General features: G+C 36.1%; 1 protein-coding gene across 15 annotated transcripts in view; it reads left to right on the top strand.

The window, feature by feature from the left end:
• The window catches only part of RNLS (renalase, FAD dependent amine oxidase), a 411796-nt gene that overhangs the window by 77281 nt on the left and 317430 nt on the right, over positions 1 to 17085 (top strand). Inside the window, exon 1 of one of the 15 annotated variants that reach the window (XM_017016385.2) lies at positions 14637 to 17004. The exons of the other annotated variants lie outside the window; for them this stretch is intronic. Coding sequence (XP_016871874.1) covers positions 16965 to 17004 — 40 coding nt within the window. The 5' untranslated portion in view covers positions 14637 to 16964. Of the gene's footprint in view, positions 1 to 14636; positions 17005 to 17085 lie in introns of those variants that run through there. 15 annotated transcript variants of the gene reach the window in all.

Genomic DNA, 17085 nt, shown 5'->3' with positions numbered 1-17085 from the left:
ATAGATGGCTTGGCCCCACCCCCAGAGTTCCTGGGGTCTGTGTTGGAGCCCAGTCATTTGAATTTCTAACAAGTTCACAAGTTTAACAAGTAAGTCTGTAAGTTAATACCCATGCTGCTGTCTCAGGACTACACTTTGAGAACCACTGGGTTTCACATTTTTCACACTGATAACATGTGCATTCCTTATTGCATTACATCAAGGACACATGGTGGCATCTGGTTTTACTGTTAGTGACAAGTTTGATCATTTGGGTGACATAGTGACTGCTAGATCTCTCCGTTGTAAAGATTCATTTTTTCTCCTTTGTAATTAATGAGTTATCTGTGGGATTTATTCTCTGAAATTAATAAATAATCTTTAAGGGAAAGGTGATATAAATTTCTGTTCCTTAACAACCAGGTTTTAACATCCAGTGATGATCCTTGCCTGAATTAATTGTCATTATTCTTTAAAAAACTTTTTTTTATTATTCCTTCTTCTCTCCCACCCTCTCCTCTCTCTTCCTTGAATCCTTCCTTTTCTCTCTCCCCTACTTTCTTGCCTCCTCCTCTCTCTCTTTCTGTCTCTCCTTCCCGTCCTCCCTTTCTCCAACACACATGCACACAGTTTTTCTCTGTCTCACTCACACTCACAAACAGAGTGTCTCTGCTACTTCTCTTTCTCTCTCTTCCTCTACCTTTCCTCCTTTCCCTCTTTTTACCTCCCAGTGTTATGATTTAATACATTGTTATTCTTTTTGAAGCTTCCAGATTCTTTTTTTTTTTAATTGAGAACCTCTCCTGTGTCCTTTTCAGATGATGCCATAGCTATTGTTAAGCACTTCCTGGCTTTCTGGCAAAAGGTATTCAAATCTTACCTTGTTCTTTTTCTGCCCTAGATCTGGAATCAACCATTTCTTTTGGTTGGTTTCTTTTAATAGGGAATGTTATTTAGAAGCCAATATCTGGGTTTTTGGGGTTCTTGTTGCTATTTGGAATGTCATTGCTGCTAAGACAGACCATAGATTTAATTTTTTAAGAAGTGATGAGATCATGCTGACAAACTCCAGTTCAAATGCAGCACCACGGGTTTCTTCATCATCTCCCCCCAGATCCTATTGGCATCCCCATTTATCTACAGTGAGAACCTTGATACTTAAAAAAATAAAAATATCTACACACACACACACACACACACACACACACACACACTCTGTCTCTCTCTCTCTAATTTGCTCCAATACATACAAAATAGATTCAGAATTACAGCAATAATACTTCAACCAACAATAACAAAACTACTGAGAAAATTAGATTTTCTTACAATTATTGTTCTTCGAATTTAGTAGAGTGTATACAGTCTGAGTGCTGAATGCAAGAGTTCCTTTAATTATCATTTTTGTTTGTATTATCAACTTGATATAGAGTGTATTACAATTGTTTCTTTGTTATTCCCTTTTAGGGTTTACTTTTTCCAACTATTTTAATTTAATTTTTGAATATGTAAATTATTTCCATAGTCAAAGTTAAAACTACATAAAAATGGAAAAGTTTCCATTCTATTTGTATTTACTAGTTTCAGGTTTATTTTCCTGTGCTTATTTTTGATAAAAGTAAATAAAAATATAAACATTTACCCCTATTTATTATACAAAAGAGGCGTATTATTCATTATACATTCTTTGGCACCTTTTTTTAAAAAAAAGAAACCTAATATTATATCCTGGGAATCACCCTAGTATCAACTCATAAAGATCTTCCTTCTTTTTTCTCACAGGTACATATAACCCATTGTGCATGCACTGTAGGCAATTTAACCAGTCTCCTAGGGATGGATATTTAGGTTGTTCCCAAAGTTTTGCTGTTATAAGTAATCTAAGTAGCTTAGCTGTCTTGATTCAGGATCTCTCATGAGTTTGAAATGAAGCTATGGGCCAGTTTTCATAAGGTTTAGCTGGGACTGGAAAATCTACTTCCTAGCTCACTCACGTGGTTGCTGGCAGGCTTTTGTTTCTTGCTGTTTAGACTTCTCCATAGGCTACCTGAGAATCCTCAAGACATGGCAGTTGGCTTCCCTCTCTCCAGGGCTGCTTTCTGACATGGTAGCTATCTTCCTGTAGAATATGATGAGAGAGAAAGCATATTCATCCACCTATCCCCACATCTAAGGCAAAAACCATAGTCATTTTATAACCTAATATTAACAGTGACATCCAATCCTGTCTGCTATATTTTATAAACTAGAAGTGAGTCACCACGTCCAGCCCATACTCAAGGGAAGGGGAGGGAATAATCTCTACCTGTTGAAAAGAGAAGTGTCAAAAAGATGTGAACATATCTTGAAAACTACCACATTGTCTTATTCACAGTCCTCAAGCTCACAACATTTGTTCTATGTATGATAGCACCTGTGCTAGATGCTGTTACAAATATTATCTCATTGGAGTCCTAACAACCATCTTGTACTTGCTCTAGAGTATAACTACACATCCATTGAATTGCAACTTTGTAGTTCTAATGATGGTTCCAGGTTATAAATCTGTTTGTATAATTATATTCAATATTAAAAAAATTTGAGTAGTTTGTCTTACATCTTTCTGTTTTTCAGTGTCTTAGCTTTTGTTTAAAGCTTTGAGGACAATGATTTATTTTTATTTTTATTTCTGTTTTCTATTTTTGAAACAGTTTCACTTCATTGCCCAGGCTGGAGTGCAGTGGTGCAATCTCAGCTCACTGCAATCTCTACCTCCCATGTTCAAGTGATTCTCATGCCTCAGCCTCCCAAGTAGCTGGGATTACAGGCATGTGCCACCATGCCCAGCTAGTTTTTGTATTTTTAGTAGATACAGGGTTTCACTGTGTTTGCCAGACTGGTTTCAAACTCCTGACCTCAAGTAATCCTCCCACCTTGGCCTCCCAGAGTGCTGGGATTACAGGTGTGAGCCACCACACCTGACCAGGACAATGATTTTTAAAGAAAGCTTGTTTGGGGTTGGGACATGGGTAGTGATAGATAAAAAATGATTGGCTACGGATTGATTGGTGAAGCTGGGTGATGGGCCAGTACCTGGGGAATCACAGTGGTATTTAATCTACTTTTATGTATTTGTTTAAAGTTTTCCTGTATGCAAAAGATAAAAAGAAAAAAAAACTTCTCTCTCCCTATATTTTCATTTTTTGTTTTTAAAGATTTATTGTGATCAGAGAATATGCGCTTTTGATCATTGGGAAAAAACAGATTTGTTATTCTTCTGAGAACTATCAGGTTTTCTGGGTCATCAGGAAGAACCTCAGGTTCCTAATGTGTAGCCCTTCTTCTGTGATAGGATTCCAAAACTTTATTATACACAGAATCACCTGTAGAGCATGATAAAATGTCCCAGTGCCCAATACCAGCCTGTCTTAGTCTGTTTTGTATTGCTATAACAAAATACCTGAGGGTGGGTAATGTATAAAGAAAAGAGGTTTATTTGGCTTATGATTCTGCTGGCTGAAAAGTCCAAGACTGGGCAGCTACATCTGGTGAGGGCCTCATGCTACTTCCACTCAAGGTGGAAAGCGAAAGAGGAGCAGCCCTGTGCAAGGGGATCATGTAGAGACTGAGGATGCATTAGAGAGAAAGCAAGAGAGATAAACCTGGGAAGCCATGCTCTTTTTAACAACCTACTCTCTGCTCTTCAGGAAGTAATCTATTCCCCCTCCTCACCTCCCCACCCCGCCCCCCCGCCCACCTCCCAGGAGAACTCATTCAACCCTACCCCACCTCTGCTAAAGGGCCTCCTCCTTACACTGCCACATTGGGGATCAAATTTCAACATGAGTTTTGGTAGAGACAAACCATATTCAAGCCATAGCGTAGCCATTATAATTTAGAATATTTGGATAGAATAAAGAAATCTGCATTTTAAACAAGTACCCCTGGGTGTTTCTGATTTCAGTGATAGATGGACCCTAATTTGATATATCTTGTATGGATTTATAGCAAGGACACCCTTACAAGTAAGGCAGAACAATGGATACAAAGATGAATGTGATGTTCCTATATTATGCTCCATTTCCTCCAGAAACTTGTAAACTAACAGAGGAGACAGATATGCAATAAGTGTTATAATAGGAGTAAACAGAATCGGGCTGTTTCCATATTATTATACCAGGTCTCAACAGGGAGTGAAGATCATATGGAACAAATTTCTTGTCTGGATGAGCAAAATAAGAGAGAGCTTTGGAAATATAGAGAAATATATAATTGTTTGCTTTTTTAAAGAATCAAATGTTTCAAGCTAGTCTTGGCAAGTGCTGAAAATTGTTCATTTTATAGATGATGTCTGATGAGTACCAGGGTTTTAGGTTATGAATTAAAGAGGAATCCACACGCTTTGAATACAAAATGTGCAAATGACGAAGATATTTTAAGAACTAACGCATTGCGGTTCAGAAGATCAACTCACTTAAATGTATCCGTAGACCTTAGAGGAACTCAGGGGTGCAATGGGCAGTCATTATCTTAATTTTTCCAATCTGTTCAGGAATACTGAGAGAGTGTTTAAGAATCCACACTATTGAGAATTCAGGTGTTACCATTTGGCCACCTCATTGTTCAAGTAAAATCGATTTTGTGAATAAGATTGTATACTACTCTTTGCATTGCTGTGGAAGGCATAGTGTTTGGGGAGAGAACTAACAGTTAATTGAATGTCTAATGTGAAATATTTTCTTTACAACCAAATTATGAGATATAGGTAGTATCACCATTTTGATGACAGGGACACAGATAATGACTAAATTATTAAAGGTAATGACTTTTACAGCTAATTCATAATTATTGATCATGTATATATCCCCAGGTGATCAAATCAGTTTCCTTTTGGTATGGAGTTAAATTAGTATTGTTGAGATTAACCTTTTCTAATAATAATCAAGCAAGAGGAAGCTTCTAGTTCAGTAGTTTCAAAATAATAATAATGGCTGACTTATATTAAGCACTTATGAATTAGGTATGGTGTTTAGTGTACATATATACACACACACACACACACAGAGATATATATACACACACACATATATATACATAAATATATAGATATACACACATTATATATTTCCCCCTAAATTAAAACAATAATCTCATTACATAGATGGCTGTTTATTTAGGATAAGGGAAAGCAAATCCAATTTATGCAATTGCTAGCCCAAGTTACACAATTATTGCATATCTCCCACTACTACATTACTTGTGAGTAATCTCTTAAAGGGGTAAGATCAGAGGAGAAATAAAACAACCAAGCCAAACTTTTTGGAGAGGATGATTATTTAAAATGAGTCTTTGGATTAAACACTAATGATCGAAAGTTATTAGGTTATTAGTTTTGCCATTAAAATGGGAAAAAGCGCAATTACTTTTGCATCAACCCAATATATTTCTATTTTCAGAGAGTTGTCAACATTAAATAGCATGATTTGCTTGCCTTAGTTTGTATCTGCAGTTTTAAAAAATTGCTTTTGTCTTGAGTGAAATAAAACAAGCATGTAAAAGTTGAAATGCAACTAAAAAATCCAGGCAATTAGAGAAACGTTCACAACCCCATCACGTGTTCCTAAACAAGAGTCCAGAACTGACTCCAATTTAGTCCAAAATCACTGAAGAGGAAAGTTTACTTCTAGTTTGGAAAATACAGATGCTTCAAATGCAGATAAGTTCATTTAGCTGGAACAAATTGTATCTTTTGTCTTAATCTCAGTGTTCTAAATGAGTCATATGGCTCTCCTGAATACCTCCTGTGGAATTAGTGTAGGAGATGATTTGTCAGTGAAATAATGAATCAGTGACCTTCTGTTCAGACTACACCAGGAACTAACTTATAACTAAATTATTTGAGAATAAGCCCTCAAATTTTGTGTCTCGTTATTCAGAACTTCCGTTTGGTGCATTGACATAAATGCCTGCTTAGTAAACACCGTTAAAATTGTGTACTAACTAGAGGCAGAGCTTTGCTCTCATTAAATCTTTACAGGTTGACTGTAAAGGCTACTTACAATCATACATTCTTAGAATTCTTTCTCCAAGCCTCACCTGCCAGTAGAAGAATTTTTAAAAACCTGCATAGCTTATAAGTATATGCAAAAAGTATTGCTTACCCTCTTTTATCTGTTTGACACTTGTCTTTAGACTGCAAGTATACCCTTCTTGCTTGTCTGCCTATTTCTTATATGTACTTCTTAGAATTTCAGCTGGATGATAAGTGGGGCCCACTGCTGGGGCACAAGCGTATGAAGACAGATGTGCTGGGTCAGGGCTGGCAGAAGTTGATTGCCCAGGTGGTAGGCTAGGGAGAAGCACTGAAAAGCTTCTTGAGAAATAGCTCAGGCAGCATTCACTTCTGGGGTTCACTTCGATCTGGTTACTGTGGGGATGGTCCAAAGAAGTCTATTAAAAGAACAGCTGAGAAACATCCCAAGACAGGGGAGGTGAGAGGGGGAGAATGCATCCTGTGCCTCACCCCACCCCTGCAAAAAATAAAATAAAATAAAAAGCCAGATCTGATAAAGCACTCACAATAACAAAATTTTTCGTAAGAACTTCTAACATATTATCTGTTACGAACACAGGCCTGAATCTGGGGCAGGTTGTTTGGAGGGAGCTGGGGGAGGAAGAACTATAAAGAAATGCTCAGAAGCCATTTTCACTAAATTTTGAGACTCACTGGAACTGAGAAATTCTGCTTTAAAGCCTTCTAACAGTGTTAAACAAATGGGAAGCTTTGCACCCTGAGAGATCAAGACAATCACTAGCAGAGAAATGGCCATGCCTACCTAAGTAAGGAAGGTAGAGAATACTGTGTTGGGCAGAGCAGTAGAGTGGTGAAGTGTCTAGCTGCTACTGCCATGCTTTGTGAGCAACAATGGACTCCTCCATGTGCATAACACTTTTAATCACTTCGGCACTGATCTTCTAAGACTAAGGACATTCCCCTGCATAAGCACACTACCATTGTCAAAGTTGAGAAAAATTATAATAATTCCATAATTTCATCTCATATTTTATCTATAATCAGATTTTCCCACTTCTCTCAAAATGTCTTTCATAGTGGTTTTATTCCCTGAACCAAGATCTAATCAAAGTTCATGAGTTGTTTTAGTTTGTTCTTTCCAGATAATTTTTAGTTTATAATTTTGGAATAATTTTAGACTTCGAAAAAGATTTACAAAGAATTCCTATACATCTTTCACCCAGATTCCCCAAAGGTTAACACTTTACCACATTTGTTTTATCAATCTCTCTACGTATATACACACATTAGTCTTTCTTTTTGAACTGTTCAAGAGTAATTTGTAGAAGTGACACCTCCTATCTGTATATACTCCATTGTGTGCCTTCTTAAAACAAGGGCATTTTCATAAATAACCATGCATAGGACAATTGTCAAAATTAGTAACATAATTACATATTGACAATAATTACATTTTGACAATTATCAAAATCAGTAACATAATTACAATATTATTATCTAGTATGCAGACCTTATTCAAATTTCACCAGTTGTCTCAGTAATGCCCTTTATAACAACAGAAAAAAAAACTTTTTCTGCTTCAGGAGCACATATTATGTTTAGTTGTTTCTCTGATTTTCTTTAATCTAGAACTATTCCTTGGTCTTTCTTTTTCTTTCATGACCCTGGTATATTTGAAAAGTTGAAGAATACCAGAAAGTTTTAATCCAAAGTTGCCCTTCATTTGAGTTTGTCTGATGTTTCCTCAGAATTAGATTCAGGCTTTGCATTTTTGAGCCAGATGTTAAATTGTGTCCTTCTCAGTACTTTATGTTAAGGAGACACATAATATTGATATATATCATCACTGGTGATGTTAACTTGGCGATGTTAACTGGTGATGATCACTTGGTCTAGGTGGTTTGTCAGATTTCTTCATTCTTAGGCTACTATTTTTCCCTTTGTAATGAATAAGTAATTTGTTGGGAGATATTTTGAAACTATGTAAATATCCTGTTTCTCATCAAACTTTCACCTACTGGTTTTTGGCATCCATTGATTCTTGCCTGAATCATATCCAGATAAATTTTATGCTCTTGACTAGGACTTTTTGGGTTTTTTTTTTTCTCTTCAATAACCTCTTGAACACTATTTTTATAAATCTACTTTACTCAAAGTTTTTTTTTCCCCAAAATTATAGCTAGTTGGCACAAACTTTTTTATGGTATATTCAGAGACCAGGTGTTGTTGTGTCTCTTCCTCCTCACACCTTCCCTTTGGACAGGTGCTTCTTTTCTCCCAGAACTTTTATTGGCTTAAGCCATCAGCTTGTTATGTAAGATATTTCACATGACATTTCTGCTTTGTCCTAGTTTTTCTCCTGCTTGTTCCTGGTTTTAAACAAAAATCTTTTCTTTGTAATGACCACATCCTCCAATCCATCCATTTCTATTTCTTAAGTTTAGGCCTTTGACAACTCTGTTGTTAAAAGACTTTCCCATTTTTGTTGTTGTTGTTTTAAATCATGGCATTTATTTTCCAACTCTGTTATTTGCTTTACTTATCCTCCCTTTTTGTATCTCTCCCCTTTTAGCTTTTGCAAATCACCTTCATCAAGCTATCTTATTTATTTATATTTATTTATTTATGTATTTGGATCAACCTACTAACCAAAATCAAGGCATTATAAATCTTTCAGTGAGGGCTACTGTAATCTGAAGCCTACTTTCTAGTGGTTGCCATCTTCTTTTGTCTTAATGTTAAACTTAGAATTATAAAAATTAGAATAAGCAAATTCTGCACTGTTTCTGTCTACCCCTCTGCTTCCAGAAAACTGACTTGTGTTCATTATCTGTATTACTGTTAAGTTGTATTTCTATAATATTTTCAACAATTTCCGTTTGTCTTCCAAAACAACTTTGAACTCATTTTTAAAAATTAATTAATTCATTTTCCATTTACCTCAGACTCCATGTCTGACCCTACCTCTGATGCTACTAGCAATCAGGTTCATTCTTCCTGGGACTCATTACATAATGTGTTCATTTTTCTCTTTTCTTTCATTTTCATTTTAATATGTTTCCCAGGGTAACAATATATTCAATTAGAGGTTCTCAAACTTTAGTGTGCCTATCCTTTCCTCCCTTTTAGAATGCCCTACTCTTTGACCATCTCCATAGCTATGTTTATATTGCCACAAGAGTTCCACATAGTATCCCTCATAAGAAAGACTAAGTAGATTATAGTTCTCAAACTTGAAACCTTCTCTGGCTGCATATCATAGGAAGATGCTCTTAAACTCTATCTATTAATATCATTTCTTGAGCCATAGAGCATGTATTTGCCTATCCCAGCTTTAACCCTTCTCCTCTATGAAATCAAGTGTTCTTTAGAAGGAATGCTGTGTGTTGTCTGTTGCATGTGGGGATGGGGTGGGGAACATGGCCACAGATAGATTCTGAAGTCTTAGAAATTGTGTGCAGATTTTTGTGCATTTCCCTTGAGAGAGAGCTTATAGTTTCATCAAATTCTGAAGAGCATCCTGCCTCCCTTTCTCCAATTCTGGTTCAAGTTCATATTCTCCAGTCCAGAAGTTAACCAGGCTAGTTTTTCTGCATTTCAGTGTCTGAAGAAGTAAAGCGTCAGGCCACTGCTTCTTCCTTCTGCTATGGCATTCCTGAAGCGTGCACTGGGTTTAGCATTTGCCAGGTTAATGAAATTCTAAATAGTTCTCTTGGAAATTTTCGGTTCTTTTCTCATAATATAATCCCCTGAGGGAACCCAGTTTTACAACTTGAAGATCTTATCAATTCCTTAATTCCTGGGGTTTTAATTACTGGCTTGGATTCATACAGTCTTGTCTATAACCACTCTGTCTGTTGGGTAATTGCTCTCTACCTTTCATAGATAATTTCAAATTGTTTTCCCTTACAAGTGTTTTTCTGGGGTACTTCTCCCCTTCCAGAAGCTGCATAAATGTTCTCTCCCCTCTTCCTTCTGTCCCCTTTGCCTTCTGCAACCCATATGGAAAGCAAAACAGACAAGTTAAAAATGTTTGTCTTATTTCCCTTTTTGTCTTCTGCATCCCCAACCACGACTTTTTAAAGCTGCCTTCCTCTATCCTGCCCCAGTTTTTCAAATATGTTCTGTCTTTTTTTCTTTCAAAATTCCCACTTGAAGCCGACACCTGACACTCACCAAAATCCTGAACCAAAAGAAAAAAATGCTGAGATGCATATTCCTAAATTCGCTCATTTCCAGTCATACTGCCTTTAACCACGGATTCCTTGTCACTTGGGCTTTGCCCTAGCTAAACCCAAACCAGTTTTCCATATCCCTTCCATTTCTCATCCCATCCCTGCCCCACTCTTCTTTACTCATTCTTATGCTGCCCTCCTCTCAATACACTGCTCTCTCTCATTTCCATTTCTATATTCTCTCCTTCTCTGCAAATTTTCCTCCTCTCTCATCCCCCACTGGTAGCCCTTTTTGATTTCTTTTCAGTATGTTCCACTCACTTAAATGGAGATTACTTTGACATAATCCTTGTGCGGTAATGAGAGCAGATGTATTATATACACTTTTTTACAAAGATAATATCTGAAGCTTGCAAAGTTTAATCTACTTGTCTAACATAATATAACCATTTGCCATAAGAGTTATAGACCCAAAGCCTCCTTGTCATACTTGGTTTATCTAATGATCCCCCCTCCCTCTTGCAGCTAAAGATGGAGATAACAAATTGACTCTATTGACTATTTTTCTCAAGTCATATCAACATCTGTGTGTACCTTTCTTAGAAAGATAACTTTCATATTTTTGCAACAAGTAAAACATGCAATGCTTGGAAAGTCCCTGTACAAAAATCTTTGTCCAGAAGTTGTACCAGTTTATTATTTAACATTGCTTCTTAAAAAAAGAGTGGGATGTTTAACATATCTAAAATTAGGTAATGGAAATAGGATTTGCTGTCATCACTAGGAATTATATCTGTTGTAGGAGAGGTTATAAAAAATATATAGGACATCTTTCCCCTTCAAAGTAGTTGCTGAATTAGAGGCGAATCTAAGTGTCAAACCTGTAAAAATTTGGGGAAGGATGCCTGGACTTTTTCAGACATAGGAAGGAAGTGGCAGTAGTTGAATGTTGTTACTTATTCTCCTGAGTAAAGAATATAGGGACCTCAGAGTAACCCTTGGCTGTTTTCTTGATGTCCTGAAATTTCTGCTGAACTGTTTAATTTAAAAGAACCAAAACTTAAGTCTGGTCTAGAGAAAGGGTTCACCACTAAATTTGGCAGGCACCTATCAGAGTTGCTTCCAAATCACACAATTGGTGAACATTGGTACCACAAGTTGGCCAAGGTCTCTAGGCCCAACTCTAATCCTCTTCTGATATATCTCCTTCACACTGGTAATATTACTCCTTGAAAATAGTTCCTCCACCAGGCTGGTTTTTGAATATGTACCATTCATATTCAGAAAAACTTAACACATAATTTCTGAATAATCTTGAGTCACCTTAGAAACAATGCAATGAATATTTTCTAAAAGTAAGTAGAGGTTCAAGTAAATACTTTAATGAAATGAAAAGAAAATAATAAATATGGTTCCATTACATTACAGAATCTTTTATTAATTTTATTCACTCACATTTAAGCTCTTTACTTATTCTTTTGTTCCCCACTGGCCCAGAAGAGAGACTTGTTCATGGCATGACTGAAGAAAATGTCTTACTGAAAGGATAGGTGAACAAATACTCCATTTATATGCTGATTATTAAGGAAGTGAAAGCCACTAAGCTTTTTCATATTTTCACCATTTTACAAACAGTATGTAACATTTTTCCGTGTAACTTCCTATTGTGGAACTTTCTCTCCTCTGAAGCTAATTACAGTGCTGTTCAAAATCTGAATATCCTCAACTCTTGCTTTCCTTGTTCTTTTCAATATCTGTCATTGTGAATGCATGTGTTTTAACAGAATCCATATGTTTCTTATTTTTATTACCTTATTTTTGTGTGTGTGTCTACTGTGCATATCATGCATGGCTCTTGGCATGCATATCATGACAAAGGATAATCAGTTTTCTTTTAGTTTAATTTTAGAGCCAGGATTTAAGACATCATCGTTTGAATGTCTTCCAGTGTTCTCCATTTTGTTTATGGTCTGCCAATGTTCACAATTGTTCAGGAATGTTTTTATAACCCAGTCGTCAGCAGTGGTAGAAAGCACCACTGACAGATGCAGCTCTGAATGACTTTACATCCCCCATCATATAAAAGGAAACAATCACAGTAGTTGAGATTTGTGCCTCTTAAGCTGTTGACCTTACAGTGAAAAAGCAAAGAGAGGGAGAAGGAGAGAGAGAAATGGAAGGGAAACTGTATTCTCCTACAATTTAAAAAAGCCCCTAAGTTCATAGATCTATCCCTGCAACAATGTAATACAGCAATCTTGAGCTGATTTATAAAATGACAAGAACAAATAGATCACTCATTTTTTAAAAAGTAAATTGTCAGGAAAAAAATGAGAAACTTTCAAATTAGAAAATTATCTAGGAGAGGGCAATTTGCTGAGTGTTTTTTTTTAAATCACAATAATTGATGTCATATTGTAGCTATTCATTAACCAATAGCTGATGCACAACTTACATGCTTCCCTCTGTTCTTATATATGATTTCTGTTAACATCAGAAGATGATCTGTATGAGATGGGGAAAAACAAGATTATAATCTGCTTAAGCCTCTATTAAATATCCATTTACTACAATTATTATCTACTTTGCTAGATTATCAGAAAAATTTTCCATCATTGATGGAAAAAAATTATAATAGATGTAACTCCTATTAAATATTCATTTATTATCCATTTTAAATATGCACCAGATTTTCATAATGGTTCATTTAAAGCTGGTTTACAAGTAGAACACATGCCAGAGCAGAAATAACATGTACTGGTAGGATAATAAGAAATAGGAGTCCATTATACTGATTTAATTTCTCAAATAACCGAAAAAGATTAGTAGTATAAAATGTCAGTTGGTGTAGGTAACATCCACAAATGTTTTGAGTTATAGATATACTTAAATAATTTCATACATTTTGTCATTTTCAAATATTAAAAATTTCATGTTCAGAACTTTATCCTGGGTAGAAAGTGAACTGATGTAAACATTGGGAGAGAAGAAAACATATCATGTCTCTAAGTTTGGTCATTCTGCTTCCCTACTTTCAGGAACCTTTCATAAATTGTCCTTTAGTAAATATTTGGGGATGATGAGATTGAAAAAGAATTGGGTAGCTGCACACACACAAAACTGGGGAGAAAAAAGTATGTTAAAAAGTTTAAAAGGGCCAGGCGCAGTGGCTCACACCTGTAATCCTAGCACTCTAGAAGGCCAAGGTGGGTGGATTACTTGAGGTCAGGAGTTTGAGACCAGCCTGGCCAACAGAGAGAATCTCCGTCTCTACAGAAAATACAAAAATTAGCCAGGCATGGTGGTGCACACCTTTAATCCTAGCTACTCGGGAGGCTGAGGCAGGAGAATCGCTTGAGCCTGGGAGGCAGAGGTTGCAGTGAGCCTAGATCACGCCACTGCACTCCAGCCTGGATGGCAGAGCAAGACTCTGTCTCAAAAAAAAAAAAAAAGAAAAAGAAAAAAAATTAAAAAGCAGGTGGATAATTTACATTTTATTTCTATAAATACGTTAGCAGCTTGCATGCCATTTTCCAGAGCTGCCTCCAATACCACTTATTGGACTTTTTCTGATGTTTCTTAAGAGGACTAAATGCTACCCCAAAAATTACTTTCTAAAACACAGTGGAACATCTTTTCCCAGAGTATATCCTAGGAAATGCTCTAAAGAGTGGGGAAGCAATGGCAGCAGGGGTCAGGTTGCTGGGAAAATCAGTTTGGGAGGTTCTCACACAGTCTATTTTTCCCTCAAAATATGTAACACGTGTTACTATATGAATGACTCTGCTGTAAAGCAGATTATTAACTTTGTTTATTCCATCTTTTCTCAAATCTAGTTTTGATTTTTCTTTTTACCTTTCTAACCTTTTATTTTAGGCTACTGATTTTATTTTACCCCTAAAAAAAAAAAAAAAAACAAAACTCTTTTTCTCCCTAATACCCTTTAACATATTATGAGAACTAATACTCTCACTTTGGGTGAGAATTGGGTTGGAATCTTTACACTTCATCTTAATGGTCCTTTATTACCTCCATTTCATATCATCACTAGCTCTTCAAGATCTTTTATCAGTGATAATTATAGCAAGTAATCACTTCTTCTTCCACATATTCTGCAGATACTTGGGTGTGTGGATAGTCTTCTTAGCATTGTTTGTTCATAATGAGGAAATCTTAACAAATAATATAGTAAGCTAATAAGAAATTAATTATACATTTAATACAGTTTTGAAATATAGGCCATAGTACTAAATAGGTTTTCTCTGGGAATAGTTTGTTCATTTGTTTTAAGCTTTTACATATTCAAGAGACAATGGAAACTTCTGCCTCACTTCTGCATTCTGAAGGAGTTTTTGTGGCACTCAGAAACATATATCCCTGCCATCAGCCCTAGATATTTTTAGGCCTAGTTTTTATAGGTTTATAACTTCCTGAAAAGCAAGGCATTTAGAAGCTCCCTTGTATGCACCTATACCATAAGCCTGTCCACTACGGGCAATGAACCAGGTCCACTCTCCTAACAGGCACAGATGAGAAGCAGGTGCAGGTAGGCTACTCTTATCCCGAAATAATGTGTGCATCTTACTGGGTCTTCTAAATCCAGTACCTTTTCCTCTCTTCAGTATGTTTTGCAATCAGTCAGAGAAGAGTGAGACTGGAAATCCTGGAAAGAAACCTAGAGTGTGAGGTGCTAAATATGAACCACTAGCACTAGCAGTGTTTTCTGAAGCAGACTGGTTGTTCCCCTCTGCCTCAGTTCCCTCAAAAAAGGGAGATAATGAGACTTGTCATCCACAGGTTTGCCATGACCAAGAGTCATTTTCTAAGCCCCTCAATCTGTGTGCTTTCTTACAGATACAAAAATTAACATGGCGTGGCTCTTATCACACAACTTATAAGAATACTATGAAGATAAACATAGACTTGTAACATTTTATTGTTATTTCATTGTATATAAATTGATAGTCTATGTTAATTTATTTTTATCCAATAACAAAGAAAATATTTTTGATAGGATTTTGAAATGCCCCAGGGTTTTAGTTGTTTTTCCCTCCTGTTTGAGGTTTCAGTATGTCACAACTCAAGTGGTTTGTGTGTTGTGGCTTACCCATGTAGCTGTAGTCACTTCAGGAAATGTTATAAGAAAAAGGTTTAAATTTTGAAAATCCCTGTTTTAGGTGAGAAGAAATTGATGTTTGGAACTGGCTGCACATGAAAATGAATGAATGCACATTTTAAAAAATAAGTATATTTTTAAAGTAGGTTGTTACTGTAGCTTGCAGTTCATAAAGTTATTTTTAGGAAAGCTAGAAGACGTTACTCCTGCAAAATGTATGCTTTACATTTGCTAACAGTAAACAGGATTCTTGACTGTATCAAAACAGACAACTTTCTGTATTATCTGATTTCGTTTAGTAATTTATTATCAGAATTCTGGCTGACGTTCACTTTGTATATGCACATTCTTTTATGTTTAGAGCTTAAAAAGTTCAGAGGTAAGATTAATGAAAATCTTTCAGTTTAAAATTATGCAATAGAGAATTTAGCTACAGTTAAAGTAAGTGCACACTACATTTGCCTCTTTTAAGATAACCTCAGACTATTTGATATTTTATAAACTTATAAATCACGTATTACAAAATAACGTTGAGGCACTGCAAATTAATTTCACTGATTCAGCTTCTAAAAGGTAATGTTTTGCTACAGCTTGCTCTAAAATCAGCTTAAATTATGTCATTTGGATTACTATTAAGTGAACAAATTGAAATTAGCATTTTACAGCATATTTTTTCCCTGTAAGACCTAGCCAAAAATCCATATAAAACATTTATTTTTAAAAGAGCTTTAAGAGCCTTTTCATGTTATTCTAGTCAATTTGCCAATACAGCTGGTCCCTCTAGCCATACAATGGACAGCCTTCTAGCAATATCTCATCTCTAGTTGCTCAACATAGAAAATCAGTAATTCATAAAAGAGTTAGGGGTTCAGTCAAGGCCAGACTTTTGAATTTTCCGTCTTGCCTCACAAAAAATTACAGCCTGAATGCCTTGCTCTGATGTAGAAAAAGCTCTAGAATACAAACTGATGGTTGAAACACTCTGCAAATCTCAGATGATGAACTGAGCCTTACAGATCCAACAGACATGGCTATTTGGTAAAATTAGCTGACATGTGCGTCTCTGTCACAGGACTGATGCATTGATGTGGCCCTCTCTGCAGGAGGTATCTGTTCTTGTGAGAAAATGGGGGACTCAAATTGATGAGGTCCTTGCTATTAAGTTTTAATTTGAATCACCTTGGGAACCATAGCCTCCACATCCATTTTGGCATTTTCTTTGTTTACACAAAGGGAACAACTTCAAAGGGCTCTTGCCCTAGTATTCATACCAGCCTCATCACACAGAGCTGTGGTTTTGATGTTCTTGTTCCCAATTTATTGCTAGGGTCCGAGTACCTGGGTACCATGGTGATAAAGTGCCATTGAAATACATAGGTAATCAGCCAGTGTACTGGAGGATTGATTTTCTCTTTCATTTTCTGAACAGACAAAAGCAGTCCTCTCAGAAGCAATGGGAGTGAGAGGACACTTACTATTTACTTTATGAGAACAGTGATGATAAAGCCAAGATGCCATTTAATTAATAACTTTACTTTGGCAGTGACTATCTCCAGGGACCAAAAATATTGGAAACCTTAATTGACCTCTCCACATATAGAACACAGGCCTCTCTTTTTTCTTTTTTAAATTGAAAGTATAGAAAAAACAAATCATTTGCTCTCAAGATGACTTCAGAACCATAATGGAATTGGGACCAGGACTCAGAATGCTTGAATTTCGAGGTAAGACCACTTTGTACAGTGTGTCTTATTACAGATAATGATCCTCTCTTTAATCACTTGTCTGTCCTGAAAAGCATATTG

The sequence above is a fragment of the Homo sapiens genome, chromosome 10 (genome assembly GCF_000001405.40).
Source record: "Homo sapiens chromosome 10, GRCh38.p14 Primary Assembly".
Taxonomy (NCBI): Eukaryota; Metazoa; Chordata; class Mammalia; order Primates; family Hominidae; genus Homo; species Homo sapiens.
Note: the sequence above shows the minus strand (reverse complement) of the source record. Positions and strands in the feature narration are given on the sequence as shown.